The sequence below is a fragment of the Homo sapiens genome, chromosome 5 (assembly GCF_000001405.40).
Source record: "Homo sapiens chromosome 5, GRCh38.p14 Primary Assembly".
NCBI classification, from domain to species: Eukaryota; Metazoa; Chordata; class Mammalia; order Primates; family Hominidae; genus Homo; species Homo sapiens.
The window spans coordinates 79,468,009-79,492,466 of NC_000005.10; the positions used below are offsets into that span (position 1 = coordinate 79,468,009).

At 37.2% G+C, this 24,458-nt stretch overlaps 1 protein-coding gene and 1 long non-coding RNA gene across 6 annotated transcripts in view, besides 1 other annotated feature; both read right to left on the reverse strand.

Annotated features, from left to right (window-relative positions):
• Positions 1–23,972, reverse strand: LOC107986426 (uncharacterized). The gene is made up of 3 exons (XR_001742758.2): positions 23,958–23,972; positions 22,909–22,913; positions 1–7,283 (listed from the first exon to the last, which is right to left on the reverse strand). It is a non-coding gene; the product is annotated as an uncharacterized LOC107986426 (long non-coding RNA).
• Positions 1–24,458, reverse strand: part of HOMER1 (homer scaffold protein 1) — a 141,499-nt gene that overhangs the window by 95,373 nt on the left and 21,668 nt on the right. The window contains exon 1 of one of the 5 annotated variants that reach the window (XM_047417894.1): positions 13,624–22,180. The exons of the other annotated variants lie outside the window; for them this stretch is intronic. The gene's annotated coding sequence lies outside the window, so the exon portion shown is untranslated. Of the gene's footprint in view, positions 1–13,623; positions 22,181–24,458 lie in introns of those variants that run through there. 5 annotated transcript variants of the gene reach the window in all.
• Positions 17,238–17,532: an enhancer, noted in NCBI's record as "tiled region #1837; K562 Activating non-DNase unmatched - State 24:Quies". NCBI's record gives its function as "activates a minimal TATA promoter and a strong SV40 promoter by Sharpr-MPRA in K562 cells {active_cell/tissue: K562}" and the evidence as "EXISTENCE:reporter gene assay evidence [ECO:0000049][PMID:27701403]".

Here is a 24,458-nt window from a genome sequence, read left to right on the forward strand (position 1 = left end):
TGCGATCCTCTCACTTTTCGGCCTCCTAAAGTGCTGCGATTAAAGGTATGAGCCACCATGCCCAGCCTAGGTCATTTAACTGCCACATAACAATACATGTTATGATTAGAATTACACTATCCAGTATGGTAGCCACTAGCCACCTGACCACTACGCATGTGAAATTCAGCTGGTGCAACTGAGAAAGTGAATTAATTTAAACTTTATCTGATACTCAGTTCAGTGTCTGAAAAGCTTTTAAATATATATGGAACAACCTGGGTATGTGAATCTACTTTTTCCAACAGAAATTTTATGAAATTTAAATTCAGATCAAGTATTTCCAATAAACATTTAACATTCAAATTGAGATGTGCTCTAAATGCAAAATACATAATGGATTTCAAAGACTTAGTATTTTTTTAAAAAATGTAATGTATCTCCATGACTTTTACATTAATCACTTTTAAAAAGATAGCATTTTGGATAAACTGTGTCAAAATATATAAAAATTGATTTTGACTTCCTTTTTAGAACCTTAAAACTAAATTTCAAATAACATATGTTGTTCACATCATATTTCTAGTGGAGAACGTTGGACTAGACAATATTTTCTGTAGCTATTTCCTTATCGACAGACATATAAGTAGTTCTCATTTTTGCACTGTTACAAAATAGCATTACAAACAATGTTCCTGTATGTTTTCTTGTGCACGCACACAAGAGATACACTAGAAGCAGAATTCCTAGTCATAGGGTATTGGTACAGGTCACAGCACCTGTACCAATTTACACTCATTAGTTTTATACTACACTCTCCTAACATTTGGTAATGTCCACGTAACATCTTTAATTTGTGCCAATTTTGGACATGAAATGGTATTTCACTGTAGTTTCAATTTGCATATGCCTGATCACTAGAGAGCTTAAGCAGCTATTCATGTATTTCTGGGCCATCTGAGCGCAACAAATTGCTATACTCATTTCTGAGCTTGTTTAAAACCTTATTTTAGCTCCAATAGTGAAAAAGACAGAATCTAAAATTCAGTACTCAAACGACATCTCATATATCCAATTCTAACCACATAAAGGTAAATTATGGTCCTTTGGTATAAAATTTAGGTTCTATTTTTCCATACCAAAGTGTTTCTGATACTCCTCTAAATTACTCCATTGTGAAAGGGTGAGCTGGTGGAGGTAATGGAGGAGTAAGTAAATGCATGTTAGTCAAACTTTTAACTTAGAGCTGCTTAAAATGTTTTCCTGGCTCAGCGTCAAAAAACAATTTACACAAAACATATTTAATGTTAAACTAGACGTCAAAAATAACACAATTCTATTGCCAAATAAGTTAAACTCCTGAGTGTTTTTCAAGCAGTAAATTCCCACTCTCTTTCTCTATGCATTTTTCTTTCCAACATCCCTCAGACTTGGAAGTGACTCTAACTTTCATTTGATCAAGTTTTGTCTAGTCACAGGTACTAATTACAGCTAAGTCTTTTCTACATGGTCCTCGAGTCATCTAGCTATAAGCCTACCAATGAATAGCACATCTGTTATTTTATGTATGGTAGTCATACAGTCTCAATTTCCCAAGATTATCCAGGTTTCATATTATTTTATTTTTATCTGTTGAAAAGGGGCTATATTAAGTATAATTAAATGTGACTTATAATTTGCCTTTTTTTTTTATTTTTAAGAGATGGGGTTATGTTGCCCAGGCCTAACTTGAACTCCTGGGCTCAAGGGATCCTCTCACCTCAGCCTCCCGCTGGGACATTGGACACAAGCTACCTCGCCCCACATTACTTTCAAATTTTGTCAGCGTTTCACGTAACAAAAACTATAGACAAAACTCTTTTGTCAGATAATGTCTCAATTTTGGGTTTTGCAAATATAATCCCTGTAGTGATGTGGTGTTTGTGCTTAGATGCATTAGCTCTATTTCATAAAAGTAGTGTTAATACAACCCAGTCACCATGGCATCATAGAAACCCAAATACATTTTCTGACTGTGAAAAGCAATTAACATTTTTCACTGACCAAAAATATAATACAGGAATACAATAATCTAAGTGGGAGGCCTTTTCCCTATTTAGCTTTCCTGAAAGTGAATTTTATTAGAGGTAGAGGGAGACTGACTTCTGAGCTACCTGAGAGAGGGAATCCTATAGATAAACGGGCATCTTAACAAGACAAGTTTACTACAGTGTTTTTCAAACCCTAGGTCACAATCCAGGGAGTCATGATCAATCTACTGGTCAACAAGGGGTATTTTTAAAAGTGAATGAAAATGTACAATATCAGAAGTGCATCATACATGGTGAGGACATATATCTTGTTCCAAGAAACTTTCAGCCACGTATTTATATATGCTTGTCACAATGTAAGATGCATTTTCTTCCCCCTGCAGATCATGGCCAAAAGATTTAAAGACCTGGGCATAAAAAATGCTTCTATTTAACCTTAATGAAAATTCTGTGAAGCAGATACACAACACCCATCTTATAGTATGAAAACAGCACTCCTGAGTGACTTAAAGTCACACAGCTAGCAAATGATATAAGCCTAGTTTCTAATGCAAATGAAAATAGAAATAAACCTAGTGGACATCAAAGAACTAAAATTAAAACCATGAGTTGTCTTTTTTTACCTGTCAACATAGAAATTTTTTAATGACTAAATTCAATGTTAGTCATTAAATTCAATGTTAGTGAGAACTTAAGGAAACCTGACACTTTCCAAAGCAGCTGGTGGGAGTATAAATTAGTAAAGTCTTTCTGAAAAACACCTTAGCAATGCATATCAAAAGCCACTATATAGCCATGAGAAAACAAAGTTGTAGCATATCCAGTGACATAAAATGTCCTATATAATAAAGAAAACAGTTTATAAATAAGTGGATACTGTATAAAAACATGTCTACAAAGCCTAAGGAAAAAAATACATGGAGGATACACTTACTTCAGCCCTTGCTCTGCCACTCCTTCTCTCAACACAGACACCAGAATGATCCTTCTAAAAACTCAACCTAGCATTGAAATACTCTAGGAAAAAAAAAGTGGGGTGGGGAGGCAGGATAAAGCAAGCACGACAAAATGCAGATGGCTGTTAAAGTGGGTTGGATGGTGAGTCCTTTTCTGTATATCTGGAACATTCAATAATATATAATTTTAAAATAATAAAACATAAGGTAGATCTTTCCTCAGAACTCCCCAATGGCTTCCCATCTCACTCACAGTAAAATACAAAGTCCTTAAAATGGCCTAAAGGAGGCCAGGAGCGGTGGCTCATGCCTATGCTATCCCAGCACTTTGGGAGGCCGAGGCAGGCGGATCACCTGAGGTCAGGAGTTCAAGACAGCCTGACCAACATGGTGAAACCCCGTCTCTACTAAAAATACAAAAAATTAGCCGGGCATGGTGGCATGTACCTATAATCCCAGCTACTCAGGAAGCTGAGGCAGGAGAATCTCTTGAACCTGGGAGGCAGAGGTTGCAGTGAGCCGAGATCATGCCATTTGCACCCCAGTCTGGGGAATAAGAGCAAAACTCCATCTCAAAGAAAAAAAAAAAAAAAAAAAAAAGAAAGAAAAAAATGGCCTAAAGGCCTTGTGCCAGTGTTTCTCAACCCTGGCTGCACATTAGAAATCAGCTTCCGTGGCCTGGGTGGGGAGCTCAGCATCAGTGGTTTTCAAGAGCCTCTAAGGTGATTCTCATGTGCAGCCAGGAGGGAGAGCAACTAGAGGACACAATCCCCTCCTCCCTGTCTTAACTTCATTTGTCCCTTGCCCTCTTTTGTTCCAGCCACAGTGGCCTTCCTGATGTTTCTCAAACATGCCAGGCACTGCCCCCATCAAGGCCTTTGCCTGGAGTGCTCTTTTCCTTCAGGTCTGCCCAGCATGTTCTTTTGTCTCCTCCAGGTCTTGGCTCAAATGTTACCTTCTCAAGTAGAGCCATTCTTGGTCACTCTATGTAAAAATTGCAGTCCCTTCCAGGACTCCCTCTTCCCTTTATTTCTTTTATTCTCCCCCATGGTACTTATCACCATCTGACACACAATATACTTTCTTATATATTGTCCTTTTCCCCCAAGTAAAGTATAATCTCCTCAAAGGCAAGGATTTTGACTGTTCTAATCATTGCTGTATCCTCAGCATCTCAAATTTCTGGCACATATTAGATATTCAGAAAATAATAGTAAATGAATGAATGCTTATACACCAAAATGTTTAGAGTTCTTGATGGTGGAATTACAAGTGACTTATTTTTTCTTATCTCAATTTTCTATGTGAACATATATTTATAAGAAAAAAAATTTTTTAAGCAAATACTTTTTTAATCCAATGAATTTGCTTGCTTTTAAATACACAGCTAGTGGAATATTGTCTTAAATAAATACATATGTAAACATTCATTGAGCTGCAGATTTGTGCACTTTACTGAATATGACATGATTTACATTTTTTAACAAAGTAAATACCAATTAAAAATACTACAGAGCCCTAGGCCAGGCGTGGTGGCTCATGCTTGTATTCCCAGGAATGGGAGGCTGAGGTAGGAGAATCACTTGAGCCCAGGAGTTTAAGACCAACCTGGACCACGTAGTGAGACCTTGTCTCTACTAAAAATAAAAAAAAAAAGTTAGCCAGACACGATGGTACATGCCTATGTCCCAGCTACTCAGGAGACCGAGGCAGGAGGATCGCTTGAGCCCGTAAGTTTGAGGTTATAATGAGCTATGTCTGTGCCACTATACTCCAGCCTGGGCAACAGAGTGAGACCCTGTCTCTAAAAAAAATGTTTTTAATTAAAAAAAAAATTACAGCCCTAGTGATATTAGATTCACCTAGCAAACAGATTTGCGGATACTGTTGTCCAGAGAATGTTTCTTACAAAAGAAATCAGCCACAAACTTCCAACTGATCCAAGTTTTGCCATCAACTATGTCTGTTCAGAATTATCTCTGCAGTATAGTTATTCTACACAAGTTATCCTACACAAGTAATCTTTAACTACCAATATAGCTTTAATTGTGAACCAGCAAGCTTGCCCTGAGGGATCCCATAAATATCAACTTTAAGGAAGCCAATCATCTAAAGCTAGATAAAAATTCCTAACTGGTTCTCCAACCACCACAGCATAAAAGACGATGGTTTAACTAAACAAGTACAGATAAATAATAGCCCAACCAAATGATAAATAGAAAAAGCAAGCAAATACTAAAGCAAGTTTGCCCAACTCACAGCCTGTGGACCACATGCAGCCCAGACAGCTTTGAATGTGGCCCAACACAAATTTGTAAACTTTCTTAAACATTATCAGACATTTGTGATTCTTTTTTTGTTTTTTTAAGCTCCTCATTTATCGTTAGTGTATTTTATGTGTGGCCCAAGACAATTCTTCCTCTTCCAATATGGCCCAGGGAAGCCAAAAGATTGGACACCCTTGTACTAAAGACTTTGTATTTGGCAGACATTCCACAATATTCAAATGGATTATATTAATATTAGAACTCCAATTTCAGTTGCCTCATCCAACCATTTAAGAACCAGTTATTTTCAGTTCTTTTAAAATTCATGCCCTGGAGTCTGGACAAAGTGGTAATACCTACTCTTAAATCTTTCTTAATCAAAAACAGCCTCTCATTATATGAAAGAGTTCTAGAATCTCAATCAAGGGCTCTTTTGAGACATTTGAGAAGAACAAGTTAGTCTTATTTCTTAAGAAAAGAGAGAGGAGTGGTAATACTAATTAGAAAGGTACTACAAACAACAGCATGAGCATAGCATATCACCCTGCAGCAATTCCACATCATGGCAATAATTTTAAAAACTTTATTCCAATACTAAGTATGGCTAGACTATGGTGAAAAATGCAAAGTTCATGTAAATTTCTAAGTTACACCATAACATTAAAAAAATTTGACACTATCCTACCACCAGTATATCCTAAATGTATTTACTCTTTTCTGTTATTTAGGTACTTTGGCAGAAATAGCAAAAGTATTTGTTTTGGAGCCTATTAACTATTCTAAATTTTCTTTTTTAAAAAAGAAAAAAATAGAGAGGCTCTCAGTCTGTCTCCCAGGCTGGAGTGCAGTAGTATGCTCATGGCTTATAGCTCACTGCAGCCCCAAACTCCTAGGCTAAGTGATCCTATCCAGTCAGCCTCCCAAGTAGCTGGGACTAAAGGTGTGCACCATCATGCCCAACCAAAATTTTTTTTTTTTTTTTTTTTTTTTTTTGTGGAGACGGGGTCTCACTTTGTTGCTCAGGCTGATCTAGAACTCCTGGCTTCAAGGGATCATCCTGCCTTGGCCTCCCAAAAAGCTGAGATTACAGGCATGAGCTACTGCTCCTGGCCTTTCTAAACTTTCTAAGACTAAATTCTTTCCCCCTGTATTAGTAATATAGTGAGACAGCAAATTTCTGATTATCTCAATTCCCTAAAAGATGCCTTCACTGAATTAAGATTTAAAGTTCTCCCTTGAATTGTTTAACAGATAAAATAAACTCCCATTGGATCATCAACCCACTCAGTATCTTAATGACAGTGCTAGGCAAAAAAATCATCTGTTTGCTATTACACCCAAACAAGACTACAACTCAATACACTCCTCACTCATTTGCCAAGAAACTCAGTTAGATTGTTTTCTACTCTCATAATGATCTCATCTCAGGTTCCTGCTACATCTGTTCATCTTTTTCTTTTCAACAATGTGTCTTCAACTATCCTGTTTTACCTTGTTCCTGATTTTACAAAATATTAAAAATTCTCTGCAGAAACTGAAAGGTTACAGATCTAGTATAATGAAAACTGAATAGCTTCAAATTGATAGAGTCAAAAAAGTAATAGTGACAGGAAAAAAGCTGATGACAGTTTCTAAACTTCTGCAGTTGGAATTATGTGATGTCTCAGCAATTTTCCTTTTATAAATTGAGCACACAAATTACAAATTACTCAACAACAACTTCCATCATTTGTCCCAAAGGAGGGAAGCCACAGGCTGCATAATTCAAACTCAGAAATTTAAATATGCTACTCCTAAATCTGAAGACAAAGGCCTAAACCTATAAAATGTGGTACATTCTTTGGCTATAATTAACATTTTAAAGAGCTTAACATGTGGTCAGACACTGTTCTAAGCACTGTGCCTGTGCTACTGAACTCTCAGCCTTTATGAAATGATTACTATCCCATCCCCCTTTTGAAGATGAGGAACCTGAAGCATAGAGACAGTATATAACTGCTCAAGATGACACATTATAGAGCCGGCACACTGTCTGGCTCTAGAGCCCGTATCTTTATCTTATACTGAGTCACTGGATGGGAGAATAATTATTTTATCATCTAAACCTGACAGTTCGTCGCTGTCACCAAACTCATGCCTGACCCATGCAAGGTGTTCAATAAATGCTGAAAAAATTAAATTCTTAGACTTTTTTTTTTTTTTTTTTTGCACCTGCAAGAAACCAAATCCAGGTGAGAAGAACAGCAGGGGAAAAGCAGAAGGTATTTTTGAGCCTCATACTTTATCAAAATATTCTATCATGTCATCCTTCTCAGAATACCACATGTGATAAAATCTAGCCAATGTCTAAAGCAAATATGAGATGCTTTGGAATGAATAACCAACTTCTAGTCTCTAAGCCTCAACAGGCTAACACTATTATTATTTTGTAATCTGTTATAGAAGTGGGATCATTCTATCAAAATACAGATTATTTTCCCTTGCAGAAGGAAGACTCAAGAACTAGGATAATTGTAATGACTGAAAGTAAGTTTTCAGAGCCTTCCAAACCACACTATCACTCCAATCAAGTACTACAGCACAAACTGTCTTCAAAATACAGATAAAAGTGTTATCAGTGCACATATATACACCTCATGAAAACACTCAGGTACCCTTAAAAGTGCTTAACAGCAATCATAATTATGTTGCTTGTACTATCCCACTGTCAATAAAATTCAGTAAAGAGACAATTATGAAGATATATCAATAACTTGTCACTTACTCTGGATGCTAGTACCATGCTCTTCACAGTTCTCTCACCGTTGTTATTGAAATATTATACCTGACAACAGTAATAGCATAAAGCCCCCAAATACTATATAAATAGGAATCCAGTCATCAACATTGCTCAGGAATCTACCATCTGCATTGATGGCACTGCTCATCTCTCCTCCTTTCCACATCTCTTCCAATTGAAATGATGAAAATGAAAGGGTTCTAAGAAAACAATTCTGAGTGGAAAAAAAACGAACTCAAGCCATGTTTATTTTTTCCCTCACACCACAACAATGAACACAAACAGAAGACTTCTATGACTAAACGTGGGGGATTTCTCCCCACCAACCAACAAGCAATCACTTGTGCAGTGGACACCAGCTGGGTGTCCTCTAATTTAATTTTGACACTCTACCTGGAGATAGTATAGTGTCAGATCGCACAGGCTGAGAGCTCAGTCCCCCAAAACTGCCCTCTCTTTAGACACCCGTTGCCAGTCTGGGTCTCCAGAAATTCTGACCAACTGGCTTTGAGTTGGGGTTCTACTGCCCTCTCTTTGAGTTCGATTAATTTGCTGGAATAGCTCATAGAACTCAGGAAAACACTTAAGTTTACTGGTTTATTATAAAGGATATTAAAAAGAATATAGATGAAGAAATGTGTTGGGCAAAGTATGGGGGAAAGGGTGTGAAGCTTCCAGGCTCTCTCCAGGCATGCTGTCCTCCAGGAACCTCCACACACATTTAGCTATCCAGAAGCTCCCCGAACCCTGTTATCTTGGGCCTTTTATGGAGACTTCACTGGATAGACATGAATGAAGCATCGACAACCATGTCAAAATGTGATTGGACAAAAAAGGTATAATTTAATGCTAATAAACTGATTGAAAAAACCCAACGAGGCCTGTCTCTTCAGATTTTTCTGGCCTTTCTGTGCACATTCCTTCTCTAGAGTATGGGGTAGGACCCTCTCTGAAATGGGGATCTTTGACTCACAATCAGATCAGAGTCCTGCCTTGAGTAAGTAAAAGAAGGACAAAAAACAGGTCGGAGAGAAATTCTGTTTCCTGAGACCTGCTTCTGAGGCCTAAAGCACCCCAACATTATAACATTATAGAGTCTGTAACAAAGACTATGAAAATTATGAGCCAGGAACTGTGGACAAAAAACAATAGATATATCATAGCATCATAGCAGTCTAGCCTCACCTGTAATTTTTCGTATTTCTAGGACTTCCTCCAAGCTGACGTTAAGAATTAGTTATAATCCGGAAACTATTTATTGGACAATTTGCTTTTACTGGGTAAAACACTTGTTATTATTATACCTTTTAAATTTAAGTGTCTTTAAGCTCATTGTTCAGATTTACCATTTACTTCCTACAAGAGGAAGAGATTTTTTTCTTTCCATGGTAATTTGGCCAGCATGGGCTGAGCTTTTGTCATTCACAAGTTCTATCTTCCTCCACTATCCCTTCTGTTGGCTGGATATGAGGCCATTGGATATGGATTTTTTTTAGATCACAAACTTGAAAGGCAGCAGCATTCTGCTACAAAACAATCTGTTCAAATTGAACAGGGAGGTTCTCGGATTATCCAACATTTAAAGAGTAATCGATACAACTAATCAATTGTCATTTAAAAATGTTCATGTTTGGACAAGAGTCTAGGGAAATTTCTGAAATGTCTGACAGTTTTTGAGAGCCAATACCTGAAATTTGAGAGAAGACAATGACATGGATGCTTCAGCACAACCACCTTTAAATTGTAATAAAAACTAAGAGGAGATAGAAAACAGGTCCATGATAAATTCTAAATCTAAGTTTAGCCAGGAGTTGTAAGTATGCTTCACAAGATTTTTTTTTTTTTAATCAATCATTATCCTGGTTTTATTTTCTCCTTCCTTGGTAAGAAATGTCAATAGAAGATGATGAAGGCATACCTAAAGGTATGCCACAGACTGAATAACACAATGCTAAAAATGTCTGCATTGGTACAATAAGTTATTATTTTCAGTTTTGCACGGACTATCAATTGTATTCATAATTAGTCTTGGGAAGCAGAAATGGCATTTTAACAAGACCATTTTCATACTTACAACGAGGCATTTAAAGAGTCAGGATTAGAAACCACATCTTCTGGTTCCAAAATCAGAGTTCTTTCTATTACTGTTCTGTACTGATTTCAATATGCCTTTGCTGTAGAACTCCAACACATCTTACATGCATTGAAACACTTATTATACTCCATTTCAGAAACTCTTGATAAGAAATAATACCTTTATGCATGGTGTTCAGATTATAGAAGGATAAAGGGGCCTGTAACATGCCAAAACTTAAATTGGCCAATGAAAATTTTGCTGGATGGTTCAAAAGCAAGCTTTAGAATTTAGTTAGAAATATAAAATACTAGGCTGGGCGCAGTGGCTCACGCCTGTAATCCTAGCACTTTGGGAGGCCGAGGCGGGCGGATTGCCTGAGCTCAGGAGTTCGAGACCAGCCTGGGCAACATGGTGAAACTTCGTCTCTACTAAAATACAAAAAAATAAATAAATAAAATACTAAAGTGTTTGTCAAACAACCTGGATCATTTTAAACTCACACTTTGTGCAATGACCTTAAGTTGCCTTAAGATGTCATTCAAAATAATTCCAATCTCTCAAAAATCAACCATAGGCCAGGCGCAATGGCTCATGCCTGTAATCCCAGCACTTTGGGAAGCTGAGGCGGGCGGATCACCTGAGGTCAGGAGTTCGAGACCAGCCTGACCAACATGGTGAAACCGTATCTCTACTAAAAATACAAAAATTAGCCGGGTATGATGGTGGGTGCCTGTAATCCCAGCTACTTAGGAGGCTGAGGCTGGAGAATCACTTGAACCCAGGAGGTGGAGGTTGCAGTGAGCTGAGATTGTGCCACTGCACTCCAGCCTGGGTGACAAAGCGAGACTCCGTCAAAAAAAGAAAAGCTGGATTCCATAAAAATAAATTTTAATATGGCCTATTTTAGAAAGTACTTATTATTAGTTCTTTGAAAATGACGCAAGTTTTAAGGTAGGTTTTTCTTCTGAATCATCACAACTAAATATTTGTGACACAGGCACAGGAGGAAAAACAAACTTCACTGAGTAAAACCGTAAACAGAAGAGGGAAAATCAACAGAAGACTTCAATAAACTGACAGACTTTTAAATGTAGGACTGCATAAAAAACACTAACATTTGAAAAATTGAATTTGTTGATAGGTCCTTCAAATGAATGTAGAAGGCTGAATAATGGCCCCGAAAGAAACCTAGACCTAGAACCTGTGAATGTTGCCTTATTTGGCAAAAGGGATTTTGCAGATGTGATTAAGTTAAGGATCTTGAGATGGGGGGATTACCCTGGATTAGCCGAGTGGGCCCCAAATGTAATCATAACTATCCTCACAAGAGGGATGCAGAGGGACATTTAGCTACAGAAGGTGATATGATGAAGGAAGATACAGATTTGAAGATTCCATGTGCTGGCTCTAAAGATGAAGGGAGAGGCCATGAACCAGGAATGCAGTTCTAGAAGCTAGAAAAGTCAAGGGAACCATTGTCCCCTACAGCCTCCTGAAGGAGTGTGGGCTTCTCACACTTTGATTTCAGCCCAGTTAAACTGCTTTCGTACTTCTGACCTCTAGAACCATATGAGAATGAACGTGTGTTGTTTTAAGCCACCAAGTTAGTGTAATTTCTTATAGTAGATATAGAAAACTAATACAGTAATAGTGATAAAAACCATCATCCAGTTAAAATCTATCAACTCTCTACCACCTAAAATTATTCTAAATTCTATTATATGTGTTTTTTCATTAAGAATGTTTAATAGTGATAGAATTACCGAAAACCAGCATAAAATCTTAATAAAAGGAACTTTATATTTATTAAAGCAATTTTAGGCAATATGTTTGCCAACTGGGTATCTTCGACTGCACTGTAATTTGATGAAAATTAAAGCTCAAGAATAACAAATTACTGTCATGGGACAAGTTATAGCAATTGTTCAAAAGTAACAAGCGTAGTTGAGTAGTAAGTCTATTTTTCTCATTTCACTAAACAGCAAACCAACATGTCATTTAGAAATAACACTGTTTCAGAAGTAAAAAGAATAAAAAAAAAGAAATTCAACAAGAGAATCAGAAACAAAAGGAAAAATTAAAAAAGAATAAAACAACAACAGAAGAAGCAGCAGCACTGTTACAAAAATAAAACACCTGAAAAGTAGGGGGAAAGGTGGAGAAAAACATTTTGTTGAATTCCTATTACATGTAAACACCTTATATATATAGTCTCATTTACATTTCAAACAACTCTAAGATATAAAAGTAGATTTAAAAAATAATAACATGACTTGTTGGAGGAGGGGGCAGTTTAAGTAACTGGTCAAAGGTCACAGCTAGTACTGGTATTTCTGGGATTAAAATCCAAGACTAACTCCAAAGCCCATAACTTTTCACTACTTATAGAAACTAAACTTAAATTTCTTCTTTGCTTCTGAATAACTCAATGACCAACTCAAAATCTCATAAATTATAAATCTTTGTTAGTGTCATGCTGGCAAAATACATTCTATTTTCTCACTCTAAGACAGCCATATGCCCATGTAAGTTATTATACCTTTATGTAAATATTAGAAAATATTTTATTTCTTTGATTAGGCCAGGCCCTTCTAAAATCTGAGAATTTTAACTTTGCTCATGCAAACAAACTTTTCATAACTGAAAACCCACAAGTATGAAACATGGTCTCATTATCTTATTCACTCCTTCAATATTTATTGACTGTCTACTCTTGTATCTTGTGTTAGACACAATGGCAAGTAAAGCAGATAGTTCCTAGCCTTGTCAAATTAATGGTCTAGTGGGGAGGGGAGGCAGACTACTAAATAATCAACTTACAATGTGTGATGTGTCATGAAAGAATGATGCAAAGAAACAGGAGTACAAAAAGATACTCTTCAACCATCACAATGCTTTATTTGCCCCATATAAAGCAATAGTCTATGTAAGTGATTACTAATCATTTATGATACAGATCTATCTAAAACACATTTACATTTCATACTTTCCATCTTCTTAATTGCTTTTTCTTTCATCACTTAGGTATGGGATGATTACTGGGCAGCACTTTCAGAGTCTCCAAATAAACACTCTCATAGCACCAGTTATCTCTCCTCACGACACGTGTCACAATTACAACTTTATTTTTAACTGTGATATTTTAAGAGTCTACCCCCAGACATTTATGGAGTACCAGATCTATCCTTCCACCTTAAATAACTAAAACACTAGACAAAATATAAGAAACAAGTTTTCAGACACTGCACAATAAATAGCATGGCACCGTGATCTCTGAGAGGCAGGAAACAACCTTGCTCTACACATATTCTTGCTTACTGGAGAGAGCTCCAGACCACAGCACAGGGAAGGGAGCCATAACAGAGCCCTGAGTTTAAGACAAAGTTGAAAATTTGGAGAGGTAAGGCAGCTAGAATTTGCAGGACAGAGTATTAAAGAGGAGGGAGCTGAACACAGGTGAGCTGCACAGAAAAAGCACTTGAAATCTATAGAGGATTCCTCTCATGTTTTCAGCTAAGTAGTGATCAGTACATACCTTTGTCAAGACAGTCTAAGTCCAGAGAAGAGCCACTAGGAAGAGCAAGTAGAACAATCCCCAGGACTCACATAAAACCAGAAACAGTTCATGTTCATTCAGCCAGAAGGGAGAGCACATGGGACATTGGGTAAAGTTTCCATAAAGGCATCTCCTCAGTAATGAGCTAAAATTAGCTGTACAGTAAAAGGCTGCTCTGGTCCCACACAACACAGCTTAAAAGTAAGCTTTGAAAAGATCATACTGTTTCCAATCAACTTCACTGAGTCTCAGAACAAAGCTCAAGAATATTTAAAAGAATATAAGTCTGGGCACGGTGGCTCACACCTGTAATACCAGCATTTTGGGAGGCCAAGGCAGGCAGATCACTTGAGCCCAGGAATTCAAGACAAGCCTGGGCAACATGGTGAAACCCCATCTCTCCTAAAAATACAAAAAATTAGCTGGGCATGGTGGTGTGTACATGTAGTCCCAGCTACTTGGGAGGCTGAGGTGGGAGGACCACTTGAGTCCAGGAAGTTGAGGCTGCAGTGAGCCATGGTACACCACTGCACTCCAGCCTGGGCAACAAGAGTGACACCCTGTCTCAAAAAAATAAAAAATAATAGAATACAAAAATAGCACCCAATAAGATAAAATCCTAAATATCTAACATTCAGTGGATAAGTAAAACATAACCCATAATGAGCAGGAAATTCAATAAACAGAAACACACCCAGAAATGACATAGATGATAGAACAGGTAGACAAGAACATTAAGATAGTTATTAAAACTACAGTCTACATGTTCAATAAGGTAGACGAAGACATAAGCAGTTACACTTGAACGTATTAAAAAGCCCCAAATCAATTTTCTAGAGATGAAAATGTCTGGATGAAATAAAAAGCAGATAAGGCATTACAGAAAAAAAAGGAAACCAGTTAATTTGATAAGATAGAAATCAAAACTATCCAAAATGAAGCACAGAAAAAAACCCTGAAAAAAAAATATAGTACTAATGTGATTGATTACTGTGGGATAACTTCAAGCAACCTAATATGCATGCAACTGAAGTCCTCAAAAGTGGGAAGGATTAAAAATAATTGGGCCAGGTGGTAGCTCATACCTGTAATCCCAGAACTTTTGGAAGCTCAGGTGGGAGAATCTTGAGGCCAGGAGTTCAAGACCAGTCTGGGCAACATGGCAAGACCCTGTCTCTAAAAAAATATTAAAAAAAAAAAAATAGCTGGACATGGTGGCTCACACCTGTGGTCCCAGCTACTCAAGAGGCCGAGGTGGAAGAACTGCTTGAGCCCAGGAGGTTGAGGCTGCAGTGAGCCGTGATCATGCCACTGCACTCCAGCCTCGACAACAGGTCAAGAGCTGTTTCCAAAATAAATTATTTTAAGAATTTTGCTTGAAAAAATGTCCAAATCTGATACTACTATAAAGCCATAGATCTGAGAAGTTCAACAAACCACAAGCGCAAAAAAAAAATTAAGAAAACTATGCCAAGGGCAAAGGGACATCATAATTAAATTACTTAAAGCCAATGATAAAACCTTAAGCACAGTCTTGGGTTATGGAGCATATTACATACAATTGAAAATAAGAATGGCAGTTGACTTCTCATTGGAAACAATGCAAACCAGAAGAAGACAGAATATCTATAAAGTATAGAAAGAAAAAAAACTTGTCAACCTAACGATTTTCTACCCAGCAAAAAACATCTTTCATCTTTCAGAATTTACCCAAGTGAATTTAGGGTAATGAAAATGTCTTAGAACTACATAGAGGTGATGGTTACATAACACTGTGAATGTACTAAATGCACTGAATTGCACTTTTGAATGGTTAATGGTTTATGTTATGTGAATTTTACCTTAAAAAAAAAAAACTCTTAAAAACAGGAGAGTGGAATAAAGATTTTCTCAGACATACAAAAGCTGAAAGAATCCATCATTAGTGGACCTGACTATGAGAAAATGTTAAAGAAAAGTTTTAGGAAGAAGAAAATGATTCCATATAGATATCTGGATCTACTCAAAGGAATGAAGAGCACCAAAAGGGGTAAATATGCAGGTAAATACATATATATTTTAATTGCAAAAGTCTCTTTAAAAGATAATTGACCGTTTAAGTAAAAAAAAAAAAAAAAAGTGGCCGGGTGTGGTGGCTCACGCCGGTAATCCCAGCACTTTGGGAGGCCGAGGTGGGTGGATCACCTGAGGTCAGGAGTTCAAGACCACAGTGGCCAACATGGTAAAACCCCGTCTCTACTAAAAATACAAAATTAGCCGGGTGTGGTGGTGGGTGCATGTAATCTCGGGAGGCTGAAGCAGGAGAGTTGCTTGAACCTGGGAGGCAGAGGTTGCAATGAGCCAAGATCATGCCACTGCACTCCAGCCTGGGCAACAGAGCAAGACTCCATCTCAAAAAAAAAAAAAAAAAAAGTGGGGTTTATAACATTAGGATTAAATATATAACAATAACAAAGGCAGGGAGATAAAACTGTATTATTGTAAGGTTCTTATTATATATGAAGTAGTAAAATGGATCACCTAAAGGTAGACTGTGATAAGTTAAAGATGTATACTATAAACCCTAAAGAATCATTTAAAAAGAAAAGGTATAGTTAGTAAGCTAACAAAAGAGATGAAATAAATCATAAAAAAACACTCAATCTAAAGTAATGCAAAAGAGAAAAGAAGGAGAGGAATAAAGAACAGATGGAACAAACAGAACATACATAAGATGGTAGACTTAAACCCAATCATATCAATAATATTAAATGTACATGATCTAAACACCCACAATTAAAAGGCAGAGATTAGCTAGGTGCCATGGCATTTGCCTGTAGTCCCAGCTACCTGGGAGGCTGAGGTGAGCTCAGGAATTTGAAGTCCAGCCTAGGCAACACTGCAAGACCCTGTCTCTTAGAAAATAAATTAAAAAAATAAAAAATAAAAGGCAGAAATTGTCAGATTGTATATAAAGCAACAACCTATATGATGCTTATAAGAAAACCATTTTGAAGACCACCTTAAAAATCATTTTAAATATAAAGACACCTATAGGTTAAAAGAGGATGAAAAAAGATATACCTCGCAAATATCAATCATAAGGTCTGCCCCATCCCCAGAATGAAATCTCCATGAAGGCAGGGGCCATGTGCATTTTGTTCACCTTGTGTCTCCAACAATCAGCAAGACTGCACACAATATCTGTTAAGTGAATGAAATTCTTTTAAAATGTATGGGACCTTCTACCCCACATTACTACAATTCCCAGGCTACAATGTCATCATTGCTCAAGGTTTTGAAAAAGTATTTCCTGAGGCCAACAACAGCTGTTCTCTTTGCTATTATCTATACCTCACTTCCGAAAGTCTATTCTCTTTTCCCTGCCCAGTCTGCTGGGGGCTGAGAAACCTGATAACCAATCTTGTTAGAACTGTGTCAAAAGTAAAACAAAACAAAACAAAACAAAACAAAACAAAACAAAAACACTAGTACTGAGTGAAGGTGTGTTTTGCTTTCCCTGAGTAAAGTAAATATATTTGGCTATTCCCTGAGAGTACTAAACATTTCTTAGTTATCATGCTTTCTTCTCAACAAAAATATTTTGAGGACCAGCTAGAAGCTTCTTGCCACGCACGGGGTGATAGAGGAATAGAAAACAGATTTGTGGGTTTGGGTTTTTAAAGTATGGGGAGGGTAAGTAGAAATTCAGCTATTCCAACTGAGTTCTCCTCCCACCCCAACATTTTTACATATGTTTTTCTTCATCGCATCCTCACCCTAAGCTAAAGAGTAAGGCATGAACTTTAAGGAGTTAAAGGACTGACTCCTGGTGTTTCTGTGTATTTGTTCCATTTTTTTCCACAAAGTTTGGAACACGCTTTCCTTAGTGCGAATGTAATACATGATATTTAGATTTGTAAGTAACAACACATTTTAACATTTCAACAGGTCCAATGCTAGGTACTTAGTACATGACAGGTCATAACACCCATGGACTTTAAAAAATTACAAACTGTGGTAAGTGTTACCAAGGAAAATGAAGAGCTATGAGAAAGAGAGCAAACAAAGGCAATGGAAAAAGAGGGACCTAATTGAAGTTGGTTAGTTTGCTAAAGAGTGGGAATCTGACAGATGATAGTGTTTCAGGTTCAGGCAACAGCATGTGTATGGCAAAGTACATTCCCCAAAGATGGCTGCAACAGTATCTCCTGTCCCTCTTTTAGAACACCTTGTTATTTCCCTATCAAGAGGTAGAGTCCATGTGCTCTCTCCCCTTAAGCCTGAGTGGGCCTTTGTGACTGCCTGAACCAAAATAATGAGGCAAAAGTAACACTGTGTACTTCTTGAGTCTACATTGTATTAGGCCATTCAGCTTCTGCCTGCTTCTCTTAGGATACTCACTCTTAGAACCCAGCCACCATGCTGTAAGGACAAGCAGCCTGTGGAGAGGAATCAAGAGGAATCAAGACCTCCACCCTAGTTGACTTCCTGGCCAAGAGTAAAGACTATCTTGCCAACCACATGAGTGACCCGTTTAAAAGTAAACCCCACAGCCCTCAGTTAAGCCACCCCAGCCAATGCCATATGGAACAGAGATGAGCTCTCTCTCACAAACTCTGCCAAAATTGCACATTTGTAAGCTAAACAATTGTTTTTTTAAGCCACTAAATTTTGGGATGGTTTGTCATGTTGCAAGAGAGACAATGAGAACAATGTGCAAAGATCTTGAGGCTGGCAAGAGCTTGTCAGGTCCAGAAACTGCAAAGTACAGTGTAGCTGAACACAGACATAAAAAACAAAGCATCAACGCCAGCAGCAACCACAACAGCTAACATTAGGTATTTGTTATGTTATACAGGCATTGTTGTAGGTGATTGATATTCATTATTTAATCATCACAATATTGCTATTGATATGTGTTAATCATCACAATCCTATTGGTAAATACTATTAGAACATCAATTTTTGATATGAAAAAATGGAGGGACAGAGCAGTTTAGTGACCTACCCAAGATCACACCCCAACCCCAGTCTAGTACAAGAGCCCAAGCTATTAACAATAATGCCACATTGCCTCTCAAAGGACAGAATGGCATAAAATGAGGTTTAGAAAGCCAGATAAACCCCAGGTTATGCAGATTCCTATAGACTATGGTAGGAAGTTTAGATGTCAGTTTACAAGCAATGGAACACTATTGAGTTTTAAGCAAGGTAGGTAGTATGTAATCCATTTTATATTTAAAAGATCATTCTCGCTGCATACAGAGAACGTATCAGAAGGCAATAACATTTGACAGCAAAGTACCCTTTGAGAATAAAATTAGAAGACCCAAAATGTAATAGTTCATTGAAAGAATACATTTTGGCCAGGCACAGTGGCTCATGCCTGTAATGCCAGCACTTTGGGAGGCTGAGGTGGGAGGATCACAAGGTCAAGAGATCAAAACCATCCTGGTCAACATGACGAAACCCCGTCTCTACTAAAAATACAAAAATTAGCCAAGCGTGGTGGCGCACGCCTGTAGTCCCAGCTACTCAGGAGGCTGAGGCAGGAGAATCGCTTGAACCCGGGAGGCAGAGGTTGCAGTGAGCCGAGACAGCACCACTGCACCCCTGCCTGGTGACAGAGTGAAACTCCATCTCAAAAAAGAAAGAAAGAAGGAAAGAATACGTTTCATAATGGCTGGATCAAGCTAATAACACTGAACTCCATGATCAACTTGAACATACAAAAAGAGAAATGGCAAGACAGACATTGCTATGTGCCTCCCTGTGTAACGCAACAGGCAAGAAGCATACCACACCACCCATGACATAGCTTGGGAGGAAAAAAAGTAAAACCTGAATCTCAGCATGCCGAGATCTAGCAACAAGTTCACCACAAACAGAACAGAGGAACATTTTAAAGGATACCATGAGTCTGCCAAATAAAGATTGTGAAAAATTCTACAGGACAAATTGGGTAAATAAACAGCAAGAAAAGGAGGGGAAGGAGGCTGTTATAGACTGAAAGAGATCCACAAACATAACAACCAAATATAATGTGTGGACCATGTTTGAAAGCTGATTTGAATAATCCAATAGTAAAAAAGACATTGATGAGGCAACTGGGGAACTGTGATCACTTATTAGATATTAAGGAATTATTAAGTGATTTTTCTGATATGATAATGGTACTGAAGATGTGTTAAGAGTCCTTATTTCTTAGTAATACACAGTCATATATTTACAGGTAAAATTATATGATACCTGGAATTTACTTTAAAATAATCTAGAGAGGTGCAGGCAGTACAGACAAAACAATATGAGCCACATGTTAATAATTGTTGAAGCCAGGTGATGAATGTATAGGGGTTAATTATACAATCCTCCTTAGGTTTTTGTATACTTAAAACTTTCTGTACACTTAATACAAAGTTTAAATTTAAAACATTTTTAGAAGTCTGTTTAAGCTCCCAAAATCCAACTAAGGTGAGGCTGTAAAACTCCAGCAGGAATGACAGGCTAATGACTAAGTATAAAACCTCCTCCAGGGTTTTGCTGTCTGCTTTTAAGAACATGCAACCCGAAAGCAGACAACTATGTAAGTTAGAACAGGGGATTTATGAGAGGTGATTAGGCAGTGCCTTTAGCACTCTCTAGAAGAGAAGGGGTCCTGACGCAGCTAAGTGGTAGGTCACGATTGATGCAGGAGATTAATGCAGTACCAGATACCCAATCCACTATCCTTTTCCTCAAGCAAGCTTCTGATTACAATCTGGATTCCACTGTGGCATTTGTTTTCCTATGTGAGAATACATTTTTAATGACTTATTAATAAACTTCCATTCTAGTTTATACATCAGTCTCTTTGAGTTTTAGTATGGTAAACCAGTTCTTAAGAGCCCCAAATCAAACATCTTAAATAAGCAATTGGTAAGCTAAAAAGCCCAGACTGGGCAATCTGCTGACCATACCAAAATGCTGTCAGCTTTTCACCATGGACCTTTTTCTTACTGTACATCCTTCACATAGGTAATAGAGCTATTTAATGTTATTTTAAAATGCACTTATAATAAATAGAAAATAAATTTCTAACAATAATAGTTACCATTCATTGAGTAGCTATTAGTACATCAGGCACTAGACCCTTTGTATACATTTTACCTAAATCTTAAAGCTAGATGGGGCACATATTCTCATTTCACAGATGAGGAAAATGATGTTAAGTGACCTATTCAAGATCACACAGCCAAGATGAGGATGGAGCCAGAATTCAAACCTAGATCTGATGGTAAGCCAAACAGCCTCTTAAAATGTTGTAGACTAAATAGATTCCTGTGGTTTCACATTGTTACCAAACCCAAAATATAATCTCTATGAGAACATGTTTAATAATTTGAGTACCTAGTGAATGCCAGGCATTCTGTTAAGAGCTGTGGGGAATACACAAAGAAGAAACATACACAGACTCTATTCTCAAAGACAGTTCATCTAAAAAAAATCTTGTTAATAGAAGATAATTACAATATGAGTGGAAAGTAATAAATGCCATGGGGAGGTAATATATAGCACTATGAGGATTCAGGAGAGAGAGAGATTTCAAAATACGTTCAAGAAACAAACTCATAAAACAGCCAATTTTTAGTTTGACACCGTACCAATGGATTACTGTACTAAGTGGTGGACATTTCTATTTCTAAAGGAAAGAAGAATACACGGCCAAGCAACAGAAGGCTAGGCTCTACCATCAGCTAGCATTGAGACTTTGGGCAAAGTCCTCAGTTGCCTCATTTAAAAATAACACAGGCATCACACCTGTAATCTCAGTTACTTGGGAGGCTGAGGCAGGAGAATTGCTTGAACCCAGGAGGCGGAGGTTGCAGTGAGCCGAGATTGCGCCACTGTACTCCAGCCTGGGCGACAGAGCAAGACTCCATCTCAAAAATAAATAAATAAAAATAAAAATAAATCAATAACACAGGCACCAATTTACAAGAGGCCATTCTGTACTTGAAAACAAAAATAAAACATTAAAAAAATTTAAAGGGCAGAATCTCTAAGGTTCTTTCCTTCATCTACATGAAAAATCTACTTTAAAATGTTGATATATGATTATAGTAATTTTCTCTTCTATTCAACTTAGACTACAACATTCAAAATTACTAAAAGAGAAAAACAGTCCCTCTGGTGTCAAATTAGTACACTTATTGCATAGATGCTACATTTTTTAGGTGAACCGAAATTTCACTCTGATGCTTAGAATCCTCCAGAGATTCCCAAGATCTATAAAGACTGACTCATAGAGGGGACATATGAAGTTCCCTGGCACAACTTGACTTGTAACCTCTAGCAGAAACTGGCTAGGTAAGAGGTCTAGGTTGCATCCCTGTACTCAGCCTGAGGCAGCTAAAGGTCAAGGTGATGTCAATCACTGCAAATATAACCTACAAGAAAATGCTATCTTACCAGGGCAGGGATTTTCTATTAAGTCCACTGCTGTCATACTTCCAACATTTAGAAGAGTGCCAGGCACACAGTAATTACTCAGTAGACATTTGTTAAATGAATTTATAGACAAGGCAATCCATGCCCTCATGATACTTAGTCTAAACTAATGCTACCATAAGAATTTAGAAACATATTTTTAGGTAATATGAGCTTCTTTTATTTATTTTTTTTATTAACTGTTCATATCTTAAACCCCAGTCTGAATAAATTGACAATACCTGACCTTAAAGTTTCCCATAACTGGTAAACAGGTTTAATAAATAAGACCAAATCAGATATTTAAATACTTTTCTGTACTTTAACCAATAAGATGGCTTATACAGAAGAGTTTTCATAAAAACAATATTACTTAAGTGTATCTTATAAAATTTATAACAGTAGAATTAATGATTACTCATCATAAATAATATTTAAAACTCAAATTGCTTACTGAGAAGTAATATTTTCATGGCTCCATCACAGCCCCTAAAATCAGCATAATATTTCAAAAGAATCAATGAAGTCAGAACATTAAATAGACAAGCTTGTTGAGCATAGTGGCTCATGTCTGTAATCCCAGCACTTTGGAAAGCCAAGGTGGAGGGATCACTTGAGGCCAGGAGTTTGATTCCAGCCTGGCCAGTATAGCAAGACCCCATCTCTACCAAAAAAAAAAACAAAAAAAAAAACCATAAAAAAATTAGCCAGGCATGGTGACACAAAAGCCTGTAGAACCAGCTACTTGGAAGGCTGAGGCAGAAGAATCCCTTGAGCCCAGGAGTTGAGGCTGCAGGCTGGGTGACAGAGCAAGACCCTGTCTCTAAAACAGCTAAGTAAATAAATAGATAAATAGATAAGTTTCTTGGAAATATAATACAAGGGAAAAAAAGGAAAAAAAATTAAGTGGATTTTGATTGGAAGGGAACAGATATATTCCATAAAATTATTTTTGGCCTTCAGTAGTACCAAAGCAAAAAAAAAAAAAAAAAAAAAAAAAAAAAAAAAAAGCTTGTCATGCTCTTTATTTAGAAGTTAAAGAATTACAGGTCAGGTGCCAGCAGCTCACGCCTGTAATTCCAGCACACTGGGAGGCTGAGGTGGATGGATCACTTGAGTTCAGGAATTCAAGACCAGCCTGAGCAACATGACAAAACCCCATCTCTACAAAAAATAGCCGGGCACAGTGGGGTGTGCCTCTAGTCCCAGCTACTTGGTGGTGAGGCAAGAGGCGAGGTAGGAGGCAGAAGATCACTAAAGCCCCGGAGGTTGAGGGTGCAGTAAGCCGAGACTGTGCCACTACACTCCAGCCTGGATGACAGAGCGAGACCTTGTCTCAAAAAAAAAAAAAAAAAAAAAAAAGGAGTTAAAAAATACAATTCAGTTGAGTACTAGAAATGTAACTGAATACTCACCCCTCTTGCTTGGGCTTTCTTTATGTTGAAAATCAGCCTGTGTCACATGTGTTGTTATGAGTTACTGTGATACTGGCAATATACATTTGGGGAAGAAATGAAAGGTTTTCCTTCCGATCTCATTTTCTTCTTAACTACTGAACACTATCACAGCAGTTCTGGAACTGCTTAGTCAATTGGTTGTTTTCCTTATGTATGAAATAAAGTAAAATGTAGCAAAAAACCAAAAACCCATAGTAACAATAGCTATGAGTTATTGAGAAGCTACTATGTGAAATAAACACTTTTAACAAACTTGTTTATTAAGCAAACTTGTTTATTTTAATCCTTTCATCTTCACAATTGTATCCCCATTTTACAGATGAGGAAACTGAGACACACAAAACCTAAGTAACTTGCCCAAGATTATGGAGCTAATAAGAGGATCACTAATTTAAATGTAGCCACTACCTGGCTCTAGAGACCTCAATTCATTGCTAAGTTGTTCTGCCTGTACTGTATTGTGCTACACTTTACCATAGTTACAGCTTTTGTGGCCTAAATCCCTTTCCCAAGGTTAAAAAAGTCCTCTAAAGGATCCAGTCCAACAATATAGAGCTTGATAATGAAGTTATATCTTGGATAAAGTAAAATTTATTTCATGTTGAGGCCTCTTTTAACTACTTCTGTCATTTAACAAATATTGCTTAATTTAGTTAAATGCATTCCATCATCATGAAAGTGCCCATATAAAAAAAAATCCACATTGAGGCTGTAATAGAATTAGTACAGGGGTACAGTTACTTTGGGTGAAACTACTTTGACTGAAAAGTGTACCCTGTCTAGAAAGACTAAAAATATTTATCAAGAATAAGGAAGATAGGATAACTTCTGAAACTGTTTCCAAAATAATAATATACTGAATTCTCAGTAAGAATCAGAACAATGTTTAAGTGCTTATACCAATCAATT